At 38.5% G+C, this 17,813-nt stretch overlaps 1 protein-coding gene and 1 pseudogene across 4 annotated transcripts in view; one reads left to right on the top strand and one right to left on the bottom strand.

Annotated features, from left to right (window-relative positions):
- The window catches only part of MAGED1 (MAGE family member D1), a 99,279-nt gene that overhangs the window by 19,318 nt on the left and 62,148 nt on the right, over positions 1-17,813 (bottom strand). Inside the window, exon 2 of one of the 4 annotated variants that reach the window (XM_047442676.1) lies at positions 517-17,813. This exon is cut by the window's right edge and continues 13,115 nt beyond it. The exons of the other annotated variants lie outside the window; for them this stretch is intronic. The gene's annotated coding sequence lies outside the window, so the exon portion shown is untranslated. The remainder of the gene's footprint in view (positions 1-516) is intronic. 4 annotated transcript variants of the gene reach the window in all.
- Positions 12,228-12,331, top strand: RNU6-504P (RNA, U6 small nuclear 504, pseudogene; annotated as a pseudogene).

The raw sequence follows: 17,813 nt of genomic DNA, 5'->3' as shown, positions 1-17,813 counted from the left end.
TGGTATTTAGCTACAATAGAGCGGTCATTGTTTAAAAAATTTTGTCAGCCAGGTGCAGTGGCTCACGCCTGTAATCCCAGCACTTTGGGAGGCTGAGGCAGGCGGATCACCTGAGGTCACGAGTTAGAGACCAGCCTGGACAACATGGCAAAATCCCGTCTCTACTAAAAATACAAAAATTAGCCGGGCGTGGTGGCACGTGCCTGTAATTCCAGCTACTCAGGAGGCTGAGGCAGGAGAATCGCTTGAACCCGGGAGGCGGAGGTTGCAGTGAGCCAAGATCGCACCACTGCACTCCAGCCTGGACAACAAGAGTGAGACTCCGTCTCAAAAAAAAATAAAAGTAAAAAATAATTGCCTTACTAAGCTGTCTGTTCTTTAGGTGAAGAAAGAGTGGATTTACATTGAAGCTTTTTTTTTTTTTTTTGTCTGTGCCCTTTGGTGTTTCCAGTTTGCCAGTTTCTCTAGCATCTGGTCTAGGATGTATGCAGCAAAAAGAAAACACAGGGAACTTACCTCCATGTTGATTCCTTGGTTCCAAGTTCCCTAGAGAATACATCATCTTCTTTTCAACTTTCTGGGTCTTCTTATGTTTTGTTTATATATTTTTTCCAGAGATGAATAGGGAAAATACATCTACCCTGTTTACTACTTCTTTCTGGAAGTAGAAGTCCTCAATTCTAGTATTTTATTTTTTTAAAAATCTATTGTGATTTCTTAATGTACAATCACACTATAAGAAAAAGAAATAATTTGATCACTTCTTTTACAATATGAATAGCACTTATTTGGTGGTCTTCTCTGAGTTGCTAAAACATCAAGAGCAATACTGAGTAATAATCTAAATAAGTAACATCCCTTTCTTTTTCCTGAAGTGACTTTACCATTTTGCCTATCAGAATAATTATGGCTTTTTGATAAGTAGTTTTAAAAAATCATATTTAATAGCCTCTTTTTCTCCCTATTTTACTTTGGGTTATTCATAATGCCTCTCTCTGCCTTATTCCCCAGTCAAACCCATCACCTATTCCTGTTACCATTTTAAGTACATTTTTATTGCATTCTATTACCTTTTTCTCTCTTTTCCACTATCTTGTTAGATGGGAGCATGAAGAGTGGGAGAAATGAGAAAGAAGGTCAAGTAGGAAAGAAAGGAATTGAGGAGGAAGAGAGGGAAGAAGAAAAGAAGAAAGAATATAATAGGAATAAGAAAAGATGAATGAAAATAGCAGCTGGAAGTAAATGGAATTAGGAAGATAAGGAAAAATAAGATAATGGAGAAAGAACAGATACTAAGTTGAAGTAGAAAAAGCAAGAGGAGGCCAGGTGCAATGGTTCATGCCTGTAATCCCAGCACTTTGGGAGGCTGAGGCAGGTAGATCACCTGAGGTCAGGAGTTCGAGACCAGCCTGGCCAACATGGTGAAACCCCGTCTCTACTGAAAATACAAAAAATTAGCTGGTCATGGTGGCAAGTGCCTGTAATCCCAGCTACTCAGGAGGCTGAGGCAGGAATATCGCTTCTACCCAGGAGGCGGAGGTTGCAGTGAGCCAAGATCTTACCATTGCACTCCAGCCTGGGCAACGAGAGCGAAACTCCATCTCAAAAAAAAAAAGAAAAGAAAAGAAAAAGAAAAAGCAAGAGGAAAGAGAAGAGGATGTAAGGTGGAAGAGCATGAGAGGGAGGCAGGAGTAGATAGAGGGGTGGTATGGACAAAATGTTTGTGGCCCCACCAAATTCAGATGTTGAAACCTAAATCCTCAGTGTGACTGTATTGGAGATGGGGACTTTGGGAGGTAATAAGGTCATATGGGTAGAGCCCTCATAATGAGATTAATGACCTTATAAGAAGAGAAGGGAGAAAGCTTGCTTCCTCGGTCTGCTCTCCACCTTGTGAGGACACAACGAGAAGATGGCTATCTGCAAACCAGGAAAAAGAGGGCCCTCAACAGACAGCAGATCTGCCAGTGCCTTTGTCTTGGACTTCCCAGCCTCCAGAATGGTGAGAAGTATATTTCTATTGTTTAAGCCACCCAGTCTATGGTAGTCAGTTACAGCAGCCCGAACTGACTAAGACAAGAGGTTAAGGAATAGATAAGGAGGGATGAAAAATAAACAAGGAGAGGGATAAAAAAGAGGAAGGAGGGAGTAGAGGAAATAACCAGGGAGAAAAGAGAAGTATTTGAAGTAAGAGGGACAGGGACAGGAAGATGAAGAAATGAAGTAGAATCACACCTCACCAATGACAGTGATTTCGTTCTGCAGAGAAGTTGTCCTTTGCTCTCCTCAGATTCCCTGTTCTCTTTATGTTGGTACCCACCAAAATGCCAGAGGTCATTTCTCACATCTCACTCTGGCCTTGAGATAAGACCACCGTGGTTTTCTACTATAAGAGCCACATACCCCATGTTTTGAGTAGATAAATTTGTTTGAGATACTCAGTGTTTATCACCCACTTTCTGTTAATGATTATTCTGCAGGTATGGGTATTATCTGACAAACTCCGGTATGCAGGAAATGTAAGTTATTTTCTCTGCAACTCAACATAAATTATATGTCAAGTTCCCATTCTACTGAGTGGTGGAAACTTAATCTCCAGCAGTATGGAGTCCCCCTCTCACTCTCTGCTTTGGGGTTGTATTTAAGTTCTAGGGATGTTAAATAGTGTCAAAACATCAGGATGGGTAACATATGTTGGGTATCATGTATCCATGCTGGCATACATGTCATATTTGTTCATCAATGTCTGTCCAAGCAGGTAGCTGTTGAGTGAGCTTCCTTCTTTACTGTAAAGCTGCTTTGGGTCCAACTATCTCTTTGGGTATCATATATCACTCATATACATGGAAAACATTCTACTGTTCCTATGATATGCTGAGGTCTATTAACCTCCGTGAGGCTGTCTTTGTCTCACATATACTCCTGTAAATACCCTGAGCTGAGGGAAACCACATGAAGAGGCTCCAAATAATTATAGACACCACGCAGACAATTCTATTTTGTAGTCTTGTCCTCTCTGGCCTTAGCCAGAAGGTGAGACAAAAGAACACATTGCTTAAGGATCTTGCAAACCTACCTGGCATTTCTTCCCATCCCTAAAATATGGGGCTTATGGTTCCTCCTTTTTAAGGAACCCACAATATCTACTGACTCTTTGCTTCCCCATGCTTTTCTTCCACCACAGAATCAATGTGAGGCTGGAGGCACCAACAACCAGAAAAAAAACCTGGACAAACTAAAAATCAATCACTTTTTTGGACCTGTCAGAGAAATGAAATTTCAGGGCAAATCATCACCCTAAAATCTTGATGGATAGGCAAATCTGGAGTCACATATGCATAACTGGAACATCAGATGGAGAAGAGAAAGAGAATACAGCAGAAGAAATATCAAGTAATAATGGCTAAGAATTTTCCAAAATTAATGACAGACACCAAATTACAGATCCAGGAAGCTCAGAGAACACCAAATATCTTACTTATAATAGAATAAGAATAATAATTCTAGCAGCTTTCATCAGAAACCATGCAAGCAACAAGAGTAAAGTGAAATATTTAAAGTGTTAAAAGAAAAATGACTACCACCCTAGATTTCTACATATAGGAAAAGATCTTTCAAAAGTAAAGGAGAAGAAAAAAAAAGTAAAGGAGAAATAAAGACATTCTCAGATGAACAAAAACAGAATGAATTGATCACCAACAGACCTGCCCTGCAAGAAATATTAGAAGATTTTCTTCGGGCAGAAAGAAAATGATATAGGGCAGAAACTTGGAAGTACATAAAGAAAGGGAGAGCACTGGAGAAGGAATAAATGAAGCTTTCCTTCAAAGAGGAAATCAAATCTCCAATTACAGAATATTTGAGGATGCTGTAATTAAAGGAAATTTATGTATCTTTCCATTATAAAGGCAGCTACATGCAATTAACAAGAGAAATATCTTAAACATAAAGATACAGCAAAGATGAAAATAAATGGATGGAATAAGTTATTACATGCAAATAATAAAAAGATGATGTATTAATATCAGACATAGTACTTTAAAGCAAAATATAATAAAAACAAAATCATAGCATGAGATTATAACACCCCTAAGTAAAGGATAGAATAACCATATGAAATAATGGGTCCCTCTTGAAGCCTCTACATTGATAATATACACTGAGCCTCCAAACATAAAGCAATATGGTGCCTCAGAATAAACACTTTAGAATTCTTAAATCCCTCATCCATGTTTTCTAGACTTGAGTCAACTTGATTTTATCTTCTTTATTTATATATGTATAAGAATTTTAAAACATTTTAAAAGTATACCTAGTAAAGTGCTACACATTGTGATAAGTGCTGGAGAAATAATGATGGCAAAAATACATGTATTACCTGCTTTCAAGGATTAATGGATCTGAGTCCAGTCAGATTTCCACAATTTTAATAAAGTTGGCTGGATTTCTGGTGCCAATTTGCATCATAAGAGCAGGCAAAGTGACATCTTAGGATTATATCAAATGCGTTCCTATGGCTTCAGTATGTATTTAACAATAATGAATAACATCCAAACTCTGCTTGAACGACCATCCATGATTACTACATTCATAGAGTTCATCACTGCTAATGAATTTTGATGTTAATAAGATCTGAAGCTTGGCTAAAGGCTCTTCAATGCTCTTCACACATTTTCTCACCATCGCAGGCTTTCTTGGTGACTTGTAATCTCTTACAGACTTAAATAGATTACACCTTCCTTCATATTGCACAATTCCCTTCCAGTTAATTCCTCACCCCCATCACCACAGCAACTCACATTCCATTAATAAGCAGAAGGTTATCAGAAGAGACAAGGGGAGGAAGCCTGCAAGTAGAACCTCAATGCACAGTTTGGGGATATTTGTTTGATACTGCATCAGATGACCTTACCATGTGAGCTTCTGGTATCTTGTGACATAGAGTCCCTCTTTGATTTGCACTGGAAAATTTCAAGACATATCTGAATGCTCTCAGACACCTGGGATATGATTTAGTGCCATATGTGTCCTCAATGTTCAGCATCAATATAAACCTCATAAACCACTTAATTTGGGAATCATGGAACATTAACAACAATTAAAATAGATATATAGCTGGACTCAGAAAAGTCATATGAGTTCAGCTACATAGTATGACATTTCCTGATTTCATTTTATAAAAGAAAAATCATCTGAAAAACATTGGGAAAATGGTCCATACCAAGTCTAACATCACACACATACATGCACAGTTGTAATTAATATACTACATCTGAGATTCTTTTTGTATATAATGTTTTATCACAATTATCTTGGCATAACATTTTCTATGACATTAAAAAGTCTTTGCAAAATTCTTTATGATAACGTGTAATATCCCATCATATGAACTTACCTACTTGACCAAATAACAAAAATCTTGTTTCCATTTATTTTTGTTCACTAGATTATCATTGTGGTGATTTTCCCCCAACAAACCTCTGTGCATACCTCCAATTATTTCTTTATGGTATATTATTAGAAATGGAATTACTAGTTCAAACGGGTATGAACTATTTTAAGGCCGTTATTCAATAATACCAAATTGCTTTCTAGAAAGGTTTTTGTCAACACTAGCAATGCAGAAGACTTCTCACATACCCTTAACAGTGCTGAACATTTGCTTTGAAAATATCTTTGCCATTTTGACAGACAAAATGACATTTAATTGATTCAAACTGTATTTATTATTATTATTAATGATGGGAAGATACTCTCAGCGTTTCTTAATCATTTGTATTTTGCTGTGAGAATTCTTTGTACATTAAGGTTATTAACCTTGTATCTGTCACACTTGTTGCAAATGCTTTTTTTGGTTGGTGTCTTGCCTCTTAGTCTTATTTATGAATTCCTGATCTAGGAAAAAATGCAATCTATGACTTTCTTTTCCACTATCATTTTCTCCATTAAAAAAAATGCTGAGGATGTCCTTTGCTATTGAAAAGCCAAACAAATATTCCTTTTACTAGAAAACAATTCAGAAACGTATATTTAGAGCCTAAAAAATATCTATACTTTCTTAGTAATTTACCTTTGAAGACTATGCTTTAAATTGAAAGTGATAAAAAATCCGATTCAGATGTTTTTAATGGCAGAAGCATGCTTCTATTGTAATATTAAATGAGAAAAGATAATATAAATTTAGCAGGTTATTGAATGGAACTTTCACACTTTCCTCAGAATTTTGGTTAAAGCCATATAGCCTTTAAAAAGAAAAGAAAAGAAAAGAAAAGAAAAAGGTACCCAGTGCCTCCACATTCTAAAAAGAACATCCCAGGAGATCTGAACACAATCCTACGGGCCTTACATGGGGAGAGCATACTAGTCATGCTACTGGTATTCATTCCATTCCTTTTCAGCCCATATGTACTCAGAAAGCTAGAAAGAATTAGATAAGAATTTACAGTGTTGTGAGTCCTTGGCTTGGGGAAGAGTGTTTTCCTTTTTCTTGAGGAAGGAGAGGGGCATGCAACTCCCTCACCAAAGCCATGTGAGGAGGGATCCAAAGGAATCACTTACACAGATTGGGGGAGTCTGCATGGGATAAGAACAGAGTGGAGTATCACATTTTGTATATTCAACAGTTTCTCTCCAGGTTGAAATTTCTCATGATTACTCAGGTTTGATTTGTTCCTGAAGGCTTTTTTCCACTGACTGCATTTCTATGGCTTCAGTATGTGTTTAACAATAATGAATGACATTTGAACTCTGGTTGAAAGACCATCCACAAAGTCAACTGAATGTGAAAAGAAAAAAAAAAAAAGAAAGAAAGACCATCCATGATCACTACATTCATAGAGTTTATCTCTGCTAATGAATTATTTGATGTTAATAAGATCTGAAGCTTGGCCAAAGGCTCTTCAATGCTCTTCACACATTTTCTCACCATCATGGCCTTTTCGTGCTGATTTATAGTCTCTGAAATTGGTCTGAAGCTATGGTCATGTGACCCACACTATGGGTGTGGGTGTGGGTTTGTCCTATGTATGGTTTCATCCTCCCGTAGGATGTCTGAGATTAGAGCACAATTACTCTAACACTTACTATAGTCTTGGAAGCCCCCTGGCTGGGAACCAATCCTGTGAATATCTACCCCAAGCCTTAAACATCTATCCTTTGAAAGAAGGTTAATCTCCTTTTCTAACTTGTCTTTATGCTCAGAAGTTCCTTGTGGTTAGAGTCATGAGGAGTTATCCTTGTAATATATGGCCACATTCCCCTGTGACCCAAATTGTTCCTCAAATCCCTGATTTTGAATACATTTCTTATTCTCAGGCTTTTCTCATTTGATAAAAAAATTATAACTGTCACTCATTTGTGATACTTGGCAGTAGTGAGAAGGTCAAACAACTGTAAAAGAAAAGAAAATAATTATCTAACAGGTCTCCACCATATAACTTCCTAAGAGGCAAGCTGGAGACAGGATTTTGCCCTCCAACCTGACAAAAAACACTTAAAAATGGACATAAAATATGAAATAATGGTTTTTGAAGACACTGAACATTAGGCAATGAAGAAGAGTAATCCCTGAGAGATGAGGAAAAAAGAAGTGAGCACTTACTGCTTGAGAGGTTCCAGTTTGTGGAGCAACAAGGGAGAATGTAGTCAGAATCCAGGGGATTCCTTGAATTGGAGTGACAGAGATGAGAGACCAGAAAGACCAAGGTAGCTAGAGTTCACAGAGCAGAGTACCCAAAAAGAGAGAGTTACACAGGGAGAACACTGGAGATCTTTGAAGGATTGCCATTAAGTATTTGACAGAGTACTGATCAGTGAATTCATAAAAGGAAATTGCCTGAGGCTGGGGAAAGAGTCACCTGAAAGGATTAAAGGGAACAAGTGCCAGAAGCTCCAACAGGTCTGGGGACCATGCTGTTCTCACCAGCTAAAGTGGAAAACTTCCTAATTCATTGGCATGGGATACTCAGAGGGGTCTTGCCTCATCAGTCAGGGATAATTAGCTTTATGCAAAAAACTGCTGTGGTCCTGCCTAACAAATCATAAAAGCAAGACTCAAAAAGATCTAACTGTTTCCAAAGAAGTGCATTTCAGAACAAAGCTCAGGTAGCTTTGTAGGAATATAAAAATATCTAGCACCAAAAGAAAAAATTTCACCAAAATTTTACCGAAAGGTAAAATTTACATTGCCTGGCATCGAATTAAAAAAAAACCAGGCATACCAAGAAGCAGAAAAATAGGACCCATCTTGAGGAGAAAAATCAATCAATCCAAACTTACCCAGAACTTAAATATTTAATAGATGTTATAATTAGCAGATAAGCACATTAAAAGCCATTATAACTATTTCCATGTGTCCAAAAACTTAGAGGAAAGAATGGTCATGTTAAGTAAAAACATGAGATCTATTTAATAAGGTCCAAGTCATATATCTAGATATAAAAACTGTAATATTTGAGAAGAAAAAAATGCTAGATGATATTAATTACTAAAGATTAGTGAACTTGAAGACATAATGGAAAAGATTCTAAGTGAAATAAAATACATTTTAAAAGACAACAGAGCATAAGTCCCTTTGTTCATGCTGTTTCCTCTTCTGGAAACACTTTTACCCCATCCCATCCACAGATCCTTCAACCAATCAATTCTGAATCTGTCTTCTGGTTTCATCTCCATCATTACTTCCTCCCTGCTTTTACTTCCCTGATTAGGTAAAGCCCTCTTTTAACCTATTCACAGAACCATGTACTTCCCCTCCATAGCACTTACCAGAGTGACAACTTCACAAATATTTGAGTCTGCGATTACTGTCTTCTTCACAAGACAGTAGCTTCATGAGGGCAGAGACAATATGTCTATTTTTGCTTACCATGATATCCTCCAGCATCTCAAACTCTGCCAGTCATATCCCATCTGTATCTAGCACCATCGTGATTTTCATCTATTAATTATACTCCCTCTCGCAAATCTTCAACCTCTCCTTCTCTACTGGTGATATCCTACCAACATCTCCTTTTCCTTACTAAGAAACTGTTTTTTCTTACCATGTTCTCTCAGCTACAGATAGTGGTGGCTATGTGTCACAGTTCTTTCCCATGAGATGTATTTGGCAGTAACTGGATAGGATTTTTGGGAAAGCTCTGTATAAGGAGACTAATTCCACTGACAAGGTATTTTTGCCCTCTCCTCTTCCTCATTCTTTCTACCTGAAACATAGAAATGATGGCCAGAGTTGCAGCAGGCATCCTTCAACCAGAAGGTACCTGGAAGATGAGAGCTATATACCAAGGACCAAGGAACAAAAAAATATATAAGGGGACTGAGACATTGATAAAATTGTGGAGGTCCTGGGCTTGTTTCAGGTAAGGAAAAGATATCCCCTAATTATTTTAAGCAACTCATTTTTAGGTCCTTGTTACTCATATCCAAATGATATTCCAAATACCCATCCTAAAACATGACATGCCCCTACCCCAACTTCTCTCTCTCTCTCTCTCTCTCTCTCACACACACACACACACACACAGTCTAACACACTATCTCATTCACATGACTCTCTCTGACTCATGATCATGACTATGACTTATAAGTATTATCTCCACATATTGTCCCAGTTCTCCAAACTATCATATTCACACTTTACCTTTCAATCCTGCTGATATGGTTTGGCTCTGTGTCCCCACCCAAATCCCATCTCAAATTGTAATCCTCATAATCCCCACATGTCAAGGGAGGGACCCGGTGGGAGGTGACTGGATCATGGAGTCATTTTCCCTTACCCTGTTCTCATGATAGTGAGTGCTCATGAGATCTGATGGTTTTATAAGGCAGTTTTCCCTACTCTTGCTCACTCTCTTTCACCTGCTGCCATGCAAGATGTGCCTCTTCCCCTTCCACCAAGATTGTAAGTTTCCTGAGCCCTCCCAAGCCATGCAGAACTGTGAGTCAATTAAACCCTCTTTCTTTTTATTTTTTTATTTATTTTTTTTTTTTTGACAATGAAAGAAAGCAAGTTTATTTGAGCAACAGTGTACAGCCAAGTGACTGCTCCATAGACAGAGCAGGGCCACCCCAGAGGCAGATTGGTCCAGAGTAGCACTTGTGGATTGCTGGCTACCTATATTTATACCCATTCTTAATTATTTGCTAAATAAGGGATGGGTTATTCACAAACTTTATGGAAAAAGGGAAGAGAGTTCCCAGAATTATATAAGGTAACTTCCAGGTCATTGCCATGGCATTTGTAAACTGTCATGGTAGTGGTAGAAGTGTCTTACGCAAGTGCATTATAATTGCTGGTCCTACATGGCTTTGGCCAGTTTCTTTGCTACATATCATTTAGATAGACAGGGTCCTGACCAGTGCTCAGAAAACAAGTCCTGCTGATCGCCTACCTCAAAGCAAACCAAAACATTAATTGTGAAAATATTCTAGAAAGACAAGTTGGTAAGAAAGAAGATACTGTAAAGACTCAAACAGAAATGTAACATAACATATAAAGAATGAAATAAGAAAGGAAATATAGCAAAGATGCTAAATCGGTGTAAGTTAAGAGTTAAATGAACCCAGAGAACAAATGATAAAGTCCTTTAAAAAGCACTGTGATGGAAAGAATGGGGTGTGCCTGGTGGAAAGCCTGGCATAGATAATGTTTTGTTAGCTTTCCAGAAAGATTAAAAGATTATGCCCAACAAGGACTTCATGTCTAAAACACCAAAAGCAATGGCAACAAAAGCCAAAATTGACAAATGGGATCTAATTAAACTAAAGAGCTTCTGCACAGCAAAAGAAACTACCACCAGAGTGAACAGGCAACCTACAGAATGGGAGAAAATTTTTGCAACCTACTCATCTGACAAAGGGCTAATATCCAGAATCTACAATGAACTCAAACAAATTTACAAGAAAAAAACAAACAACCCCATCAAAAAGTGGGCGAAGGATATGAACAGACACTTTTCAAAGGAAGACATTTATGCAGCCAAAAAACACATTAAAAAAATGCTCATCATCACTGGCCATCAGAGAAATGCAAATCAAAACCACAATGAGATACCATCTCACACCAGTTAGAATGGCAATCATTAAAAAGTCAGGAAACAACAGATGCTGGAGAGGATGTGGAGAAATAGGAACACTTTTACACTGTTGGTGGCACTGGAAACTAGTTCAACCACTGTAGAAGTCGGTGTGGCGATTCCTCAGGGATCTAGAACTAGAAATACCATTTGACCCAGCCATCCCATTACTAGGTATATACTCAAAGGATTCCATAAATCATGCTGCTATAAAGACACATGCACATGTATGTTTATTGTGGCACTATTCACAATAGCAAAGACTTGGAACCAACCCAAATGTCCATCAATGATAGACTGGATTAAGACAATGTGGCACATATACACCATGGAATACTATGCAGCCATAAAAAATGATGAGTTCATGTCCTTTGTAGGGACATGGATGAAGCTGGACACCATCATTCTCAGCAAACTATTGCAAGGACAAAAAACCAAACACCGCATATTCTCACTCATAGGTGGGAACTGAACAATGAGAACACTTGGACACAGGAAGGGGAACATCACACACCAGGGCCTGTTGTGGGGTGGGGGAAGGGGGGAGGGATAGCATTAGGAGATATACCTAATGTAAATGACGAGTTAATGGGTGCAGCACACCAACATGGCACATGTATACATAAGTAACAAACCTGCACGTTGTGCACATGTACCCTATAACTTAGTATAATTAAAAAAAAAAAAAAGATTATGCCCAAAATATTCCCTTGAGAAGGGCAGGTGTAAAACGACTCTGGAAATCAGTAAGTAATGCAGCTTCAAAAAAAATAATTTTTAAAAAGGAGTCTCTTCTTGAGGAGAAATGGAGATCCAAAACAGATGTTCAAGCACATCAGAGGCCCCTACTGTTCTGCATCTGCAGAGGCAGAGTCTTATGCAGTCTGGGCTCCTGTTGTCACCGAGGCCATTAAGCCATCTCTGAGCACCTGCTGGGGGGCCACATACAGCCTGAACCCTCTCCGGGAGTGTGCTGCCAAGCACTGGAGAGGAGATTTAGTTTGGTTTTATTCTTATCATGATCATGTTTTATTAATTTATATCTTTCATTCCTCTATAACATGAGGTCCATTTGTCATCCATGAAATACCTTAAGCCAGATCTATACTGTTTTAACATACCATGTAATATTTGATAGGATTAAGAAAAGCCGTGCTTGCTTTGGCAGCACAAACACTAAAATTGGAACCGTGCAGAGATTAGCACATGGCCCCTGTACAGATGACACATAAATTCATGAAGCATAAGAAAGAAAAGAAAAACAGTAAATTAGTGAGTTAACAGTTAACTGGAAAAGATATCACTTTGAAGGCAATCCAATGTATTACCCTTCTACATATCAACCTTACCACCTGATTCTAAATTTAAATACTTGCTGTTTACCAACAGGAAATTACAACTCCATTTACATGTGTCTCTGGGGAAAGAGCATGCAAAGAATGACCACATCTTTATATACGCAAGGCAAATATCTGGAACAAAACAAAACAATTCTGGAATCCTGCATGACATTAATATTTTAGGAGTAGAGCACAAGATCCCCAAAGAACAACAACAAAAAAAACTTCACATTATAGAAAAAGAAATCACATACGCATCAATTTTGAGTAAGATAGAGCAATATATTTCAAACTACTTGTGCAAAACCAGTTGGTTTTTTGTTCACTTTAATTCGTTTCAACCAATACTTTTGTGAAATAAGAGTCTGTTTCTAGAAAAAATGATATTACAGTAAATTATAGAATACAAAATACAAGCCTCACTTTTTAAATTATTGATTCAACATAAATAAAATCACTCTAAAATTGCAGTAAAATTTGCCAAACACTTAGGCTCAGTTCATGGCAGACCAGATCACCAACCCACACTTGTCCAAGAACCATATTTTGAATACACTGAGATAAAGTGTCTAAAAATGGAGATCCTAGCCCAGCACGGTGGCTCACCCTCCTAGTCTCAGCTACTCAGGAGGCTGAGGCAGAAGGATCCCCTGACCCCAGGAGTTTAGGCTGCAGTGAGCTATGATAGCACCACTGCACCCCAGCCTGGGCGCCAGGGCAAGACTCCGTCTCTTTTTGTTTTGTTTCATTTTGAGACAGGGTCTCACTCTGTCACCCAGGCTGGAGTTCAGTGGCACGATCTCGGCTCACTGCAATCTCCGCCTCCTGGGTTCAAGCAATTCTCCCGCCTCAGCCTCCCAGGCACTGGGACCACAGGTACCCGCCACCACACCGGTCTAATTTTTGCATTATTTTTGTAGAGACAGGGTTTTACCATGTTGCCCAGGCTGATCTCAAACTCCTGAGCTCAAGCGATTCGCCTGCCTCGGCCTCCCAAACTGCTGGAATCACAGGCATAAGCCACCGCACCCGGCGGATACCCTGTCTCTTAAAAAAAAATTAAAAATGAAAAAAAATCATAAAAATGGAGATCTTCCAGGCCAAGGGCAGTGGTTCACACCTGCAATACCAGCACCCTAAACCCTCTTTCTTTTTAATAAATTGTCCAGTCTCAGGTATCTCTTTATAGCAGTGTGAAAATGGATTAATATGCCCACTAACATGTACACTGTCTCTATCACTCCCATTTCCACACATACTCTGTCCTATCCTGTACTATCATAAATAAAATGTCTTTAGACCAGAACAGATATGGTACCCACGACACCCACTGTCAAATACCACTAACTTAAATCAATCCCCATTATCATACACACCATCCCCATCATTCATATAGTCACACCCCAATTACTCAATCCCTACACTACACCATTACGCAGTGTCTAGCCACACCCACTATCATACACACAGTCCACATCTCCATTATCAAACTTGTATCATCCTCCAAATCTCCTTCCACACATTCTCATACCACCTCCATTTCATACATACTCACAACCAATAACCACATCAACTCTGCTCTCACTCACATATATTCCCCATTCCTCACTGGCACTCAGAAACTCTTTGCATTTTCCCATCATATACTTTATTCAACAACCCTATTCAGACACTCATGATTTTCCCACTCCAAATTATCACATTTTCATTGACTGTGATTACCCATGCTCACTGTATCCATCTGTCCTCACAAAGAGACACACTTCTCATTTTCCCCAGCACACATAGACACACAGACATACACCAGCCTTCTCACTTCCATCATGTACCTATCTTCCATAATGACATTACACCTGCCCCATTCCAACCTCCCTCTACATCAACATGTCCCATCCACATTTTCACACACACAATGATCCCAGTGTCCCATTATCCTGTCCTCTCCCTCCCCACTTTCTCACACAACCATATTCACACACATGCACAATTCTTGTCTTTCACATACACTGTGACCATAACTACAACTGTCACATACATTCTGATCTCTTCCTGTTACTGTCACTCACATTGCCTCTGTCTTCATGATCACAGTGATTTCATACCATCCTTACACTGTCCCCATTGACACCATTATCACACATACCTTGGCCACATACCTCCACTACCCCACTACCACACAATACTCTCTCCCTATCTCTCCATCAAACACATGACCCACATCACTTAGGATTTTACACTTGTGGTGCTCATTCCCTGATATCTCATTTTCCTTCTTTTATTTCCTCTCCTCTCCCTTCTTGTCCCCCACTCCTATCTTATTCTCTCATACACACACACACACAAACACACACACACACTTACTTTCCTGATATGTGGATCTTACATCAACCCAGATATAACAGAGAAGTTTCTCACTTGAAGCCTCACTGCAGAGTTCTAGTAGGTGTTAAGTGGAGAAATATACCATGCTCTAAAGGTACAATGTTTGATGTTCCCATTGGTAGAGAGTGGTGAATGGATTCCTTTTGGTACATCTGCCTTTAAGAAGCATTTCTTCATGTTTTGTTATAGCATTTAGATGGAGTTTTAAATATTCTATTGATATGTCATTAACATGATATTCTGTAATTGAGCTATTTGTACTACAGTCTTCCTAAAATATCCTAATACCTTTCGTGTCACAGCAAAATTATGATATTTTTGGTCCTGAAGAGATAGACAAGTTCAAGCACATGGCAATACTGAATACATCACTGAGCTATGTTAGAGGGAACACTTAATCTTTACTTCTCATGTTTCTAAGTGGAAGAACTTCAAATAGACTAACACTCCTGCTTTTCTGTCCACAGAAGAAGGAATGAGTTATGTGACTAGTATGTTTGGAAGAAACATCTGAGTATGCTTGTGTGATGGTTAATACTGAGTATCAACTTGATTGAATTGAAGGATACAAAGTATTGATCCTGGGTGTGTCTGTGAGGGTGTTGCCAAAAGAGATTAACATTTGAGTCAGCGGGCTGGGGAAGGCAGATATACCCTTCAACTGGTGGGCACAATCTAATCAGCTGCCAGCGAATATAAAGCAGGCAGAAAAACGTGAGAAGGAGAGACTGACCTAGCCTCCCAGCCTACATCTTTCTCTCGTGCTGGATGCTTCCTGCCCTTGAACATCAGACTCCAAGTTCTTCAGTTTTGGGACTCGGATTGGCTCTTCTTGCTCCTCAGCTTGCCGATAGCCTATTGTGAGACCTTGTGATCGTGTAAGTTAATACTTAATAAGCTCCCCTTTATTTTTATGTGTATATATAGTTCTGTCCCTCTAGAGAACCCTGACTAATACAGCTTGGCTTAGGCTCTTGCTCTCTGCCCTTCATCTACATGCTTACAGAAAACATATCATGCATCAAGTGGCCCACTTTTGGCCCAGAGTCTTGTGGTTTTTCACCATTGCTTATGGTGGTTTAGGTAAATCTGCTTAATTCTGGGGTCCAATATTAGGAAGTCCACATTAAAGCCATATTCTCTGAAGTGTTATCAGTAATAAAGATGATGTTTTGAGTTCCATTTATCGGATTCCTACATCTTTCAATTTCAATTGGTTCTGAACCTAGTCAGGAAAGATGAATGTTATTTATTGATCCCTCACAGCTCCACACAATGGATCAATGAAATCATATAAATTCTCTTTACTGGTGTTATCCATGTTTTACCACTAACAGGTTTCTAGGTGGAGTTTGTTTTTGATTAGCATTACCAGCAAACACTGATACAAATTAACATCAAGTCTAAACAAGGATATTGCATTGCCACTACCCCAGATTCCTCCTTTCCCTGAACTAGGAATTCAAATTCTGAATGGGTAGAGTTACCATGGTACAGTAGGTGAAAATTAATCAGGAGTAGAAAAACACCCTTTGATGAAAAAATTTAGAATTTAGTCTTATAGAATGCTCTTGTTAAAAACAGGTTATGTAGAATTACATCTAACAGTCATTTTAGCTCTTTCTTTTTTCTTTTTGCTAGCTAGCTTTGTGTTAGCTTTTGAGACCTTGCATATAAACTTAAATACTGTGCTTGTCTGCTCTCAGTGAAAGAACAATATTTCAGAGTGCAATTTGTGTCCAAGGTGACTAGGCCTAAATATTGGAATGTTCACAGTTTTATCCGGGGACAATCAGTGTTCTAAAGAAATGGCAACTTTTCGCTGGAAATAAGGCAGTGTGAAGATCAGAACTCACATGTGACCTCGTTTCCATAGTAACACCATTCATATCTGCACATAGTTGATATTCTAGCAGTACTGACTCAAATACATTCCAATCTACATCAAGGCCCACAAAGTGATCATTCATAAAAACAAACATTAAAAAGTTTCAGCAGTCAGAGAGAAATAAAACAAAGCTATTAGACAAGATATGTAAAAACTGACTAAAAAGTAATAAGAACACCTGAGGAAAATGCAGCATATACACACAAAAACTTTCTAGAGCTCAAAGCTTTAAAAACAAATTCTATATTAGTCTGTTCTCACACTGCTATAAGGAAATTCCTGAGACTGCATAATTTATAAAGAAAAGAGGTTTAATTAGTTTATGGTTCCACAGGCTGTATAGGAAGCTTGGCTGGGGAGGCCTCAGGAAACTCACAATCATGGCAGAAGGTGAAAGTGAAGCAGGCACATCTTACATGGCCAGAGCAGGAGGAAGAGAGAGAAGGGTGGAGGTGCTACACACTTTTAAACAACCAGATCTCGTGAGAACTCACTATCATGAGAACAGCAAGGGGGAAATCTGCCCTCTTGATCCAATTACCTCCCACCAGGCCTCTCTCCCAAATTAGGGATCACAATTCAACATGAGATTTAGGTGGGGACACAAATCCAAACTGTATCAAATTCCAATTAAACAATAAAATGAAAAATGATGTCAATGATGAGCCCTGAATTACTTGACTAGAAAATTAAGTGCAAGATTTATATCAAGGCACTGAGCAAAAAAACCCAAAAAGCAATAGATACAATGAGATACAAGACAAGGTATCTAGAGGATAGTGTCAATGAACCTAAAATGTGAATATGGGAGATGGATGGGGAGTTAAAGGAGAAAAGAAATAGAAGGAAGAAAGGCAATATTTAACTAAATGATAGAAGAAAATTTCCCTGAGCTAAAGAAAGGGCTACCTGAATTCCAGACAAGATTGAGTACCTGTTCATCCATCCATTCATCAATTTATGCATTCATACATTAATTTAATCAACTCATCTAATGAGGACTTATTACATAGCCAGCATTATTCTAGGCACTTGGGATATATCAGTGAACAAAACAGACAAAAATCCCTGTCTTTGTGGAGCTTACATTCTAAGATATACTCAGGATACCCTGATTAAATTCTTGAA

Source organism: Homo sapiens, chromosome X (assembly GCF_000001405.40).
Source record: "Homo sapiens chromosome X, GRCh38.p14 Primary Assembly".
Classification (NCBI taxonomy): Eukaryota; Metazoa; Chordata; class Mammalia; order Primates; family Hominidae; genus Homo; species Homo sapiens.
This window is presented reverse-complemented; position numbering and strand designations above follow the sequence as displayed.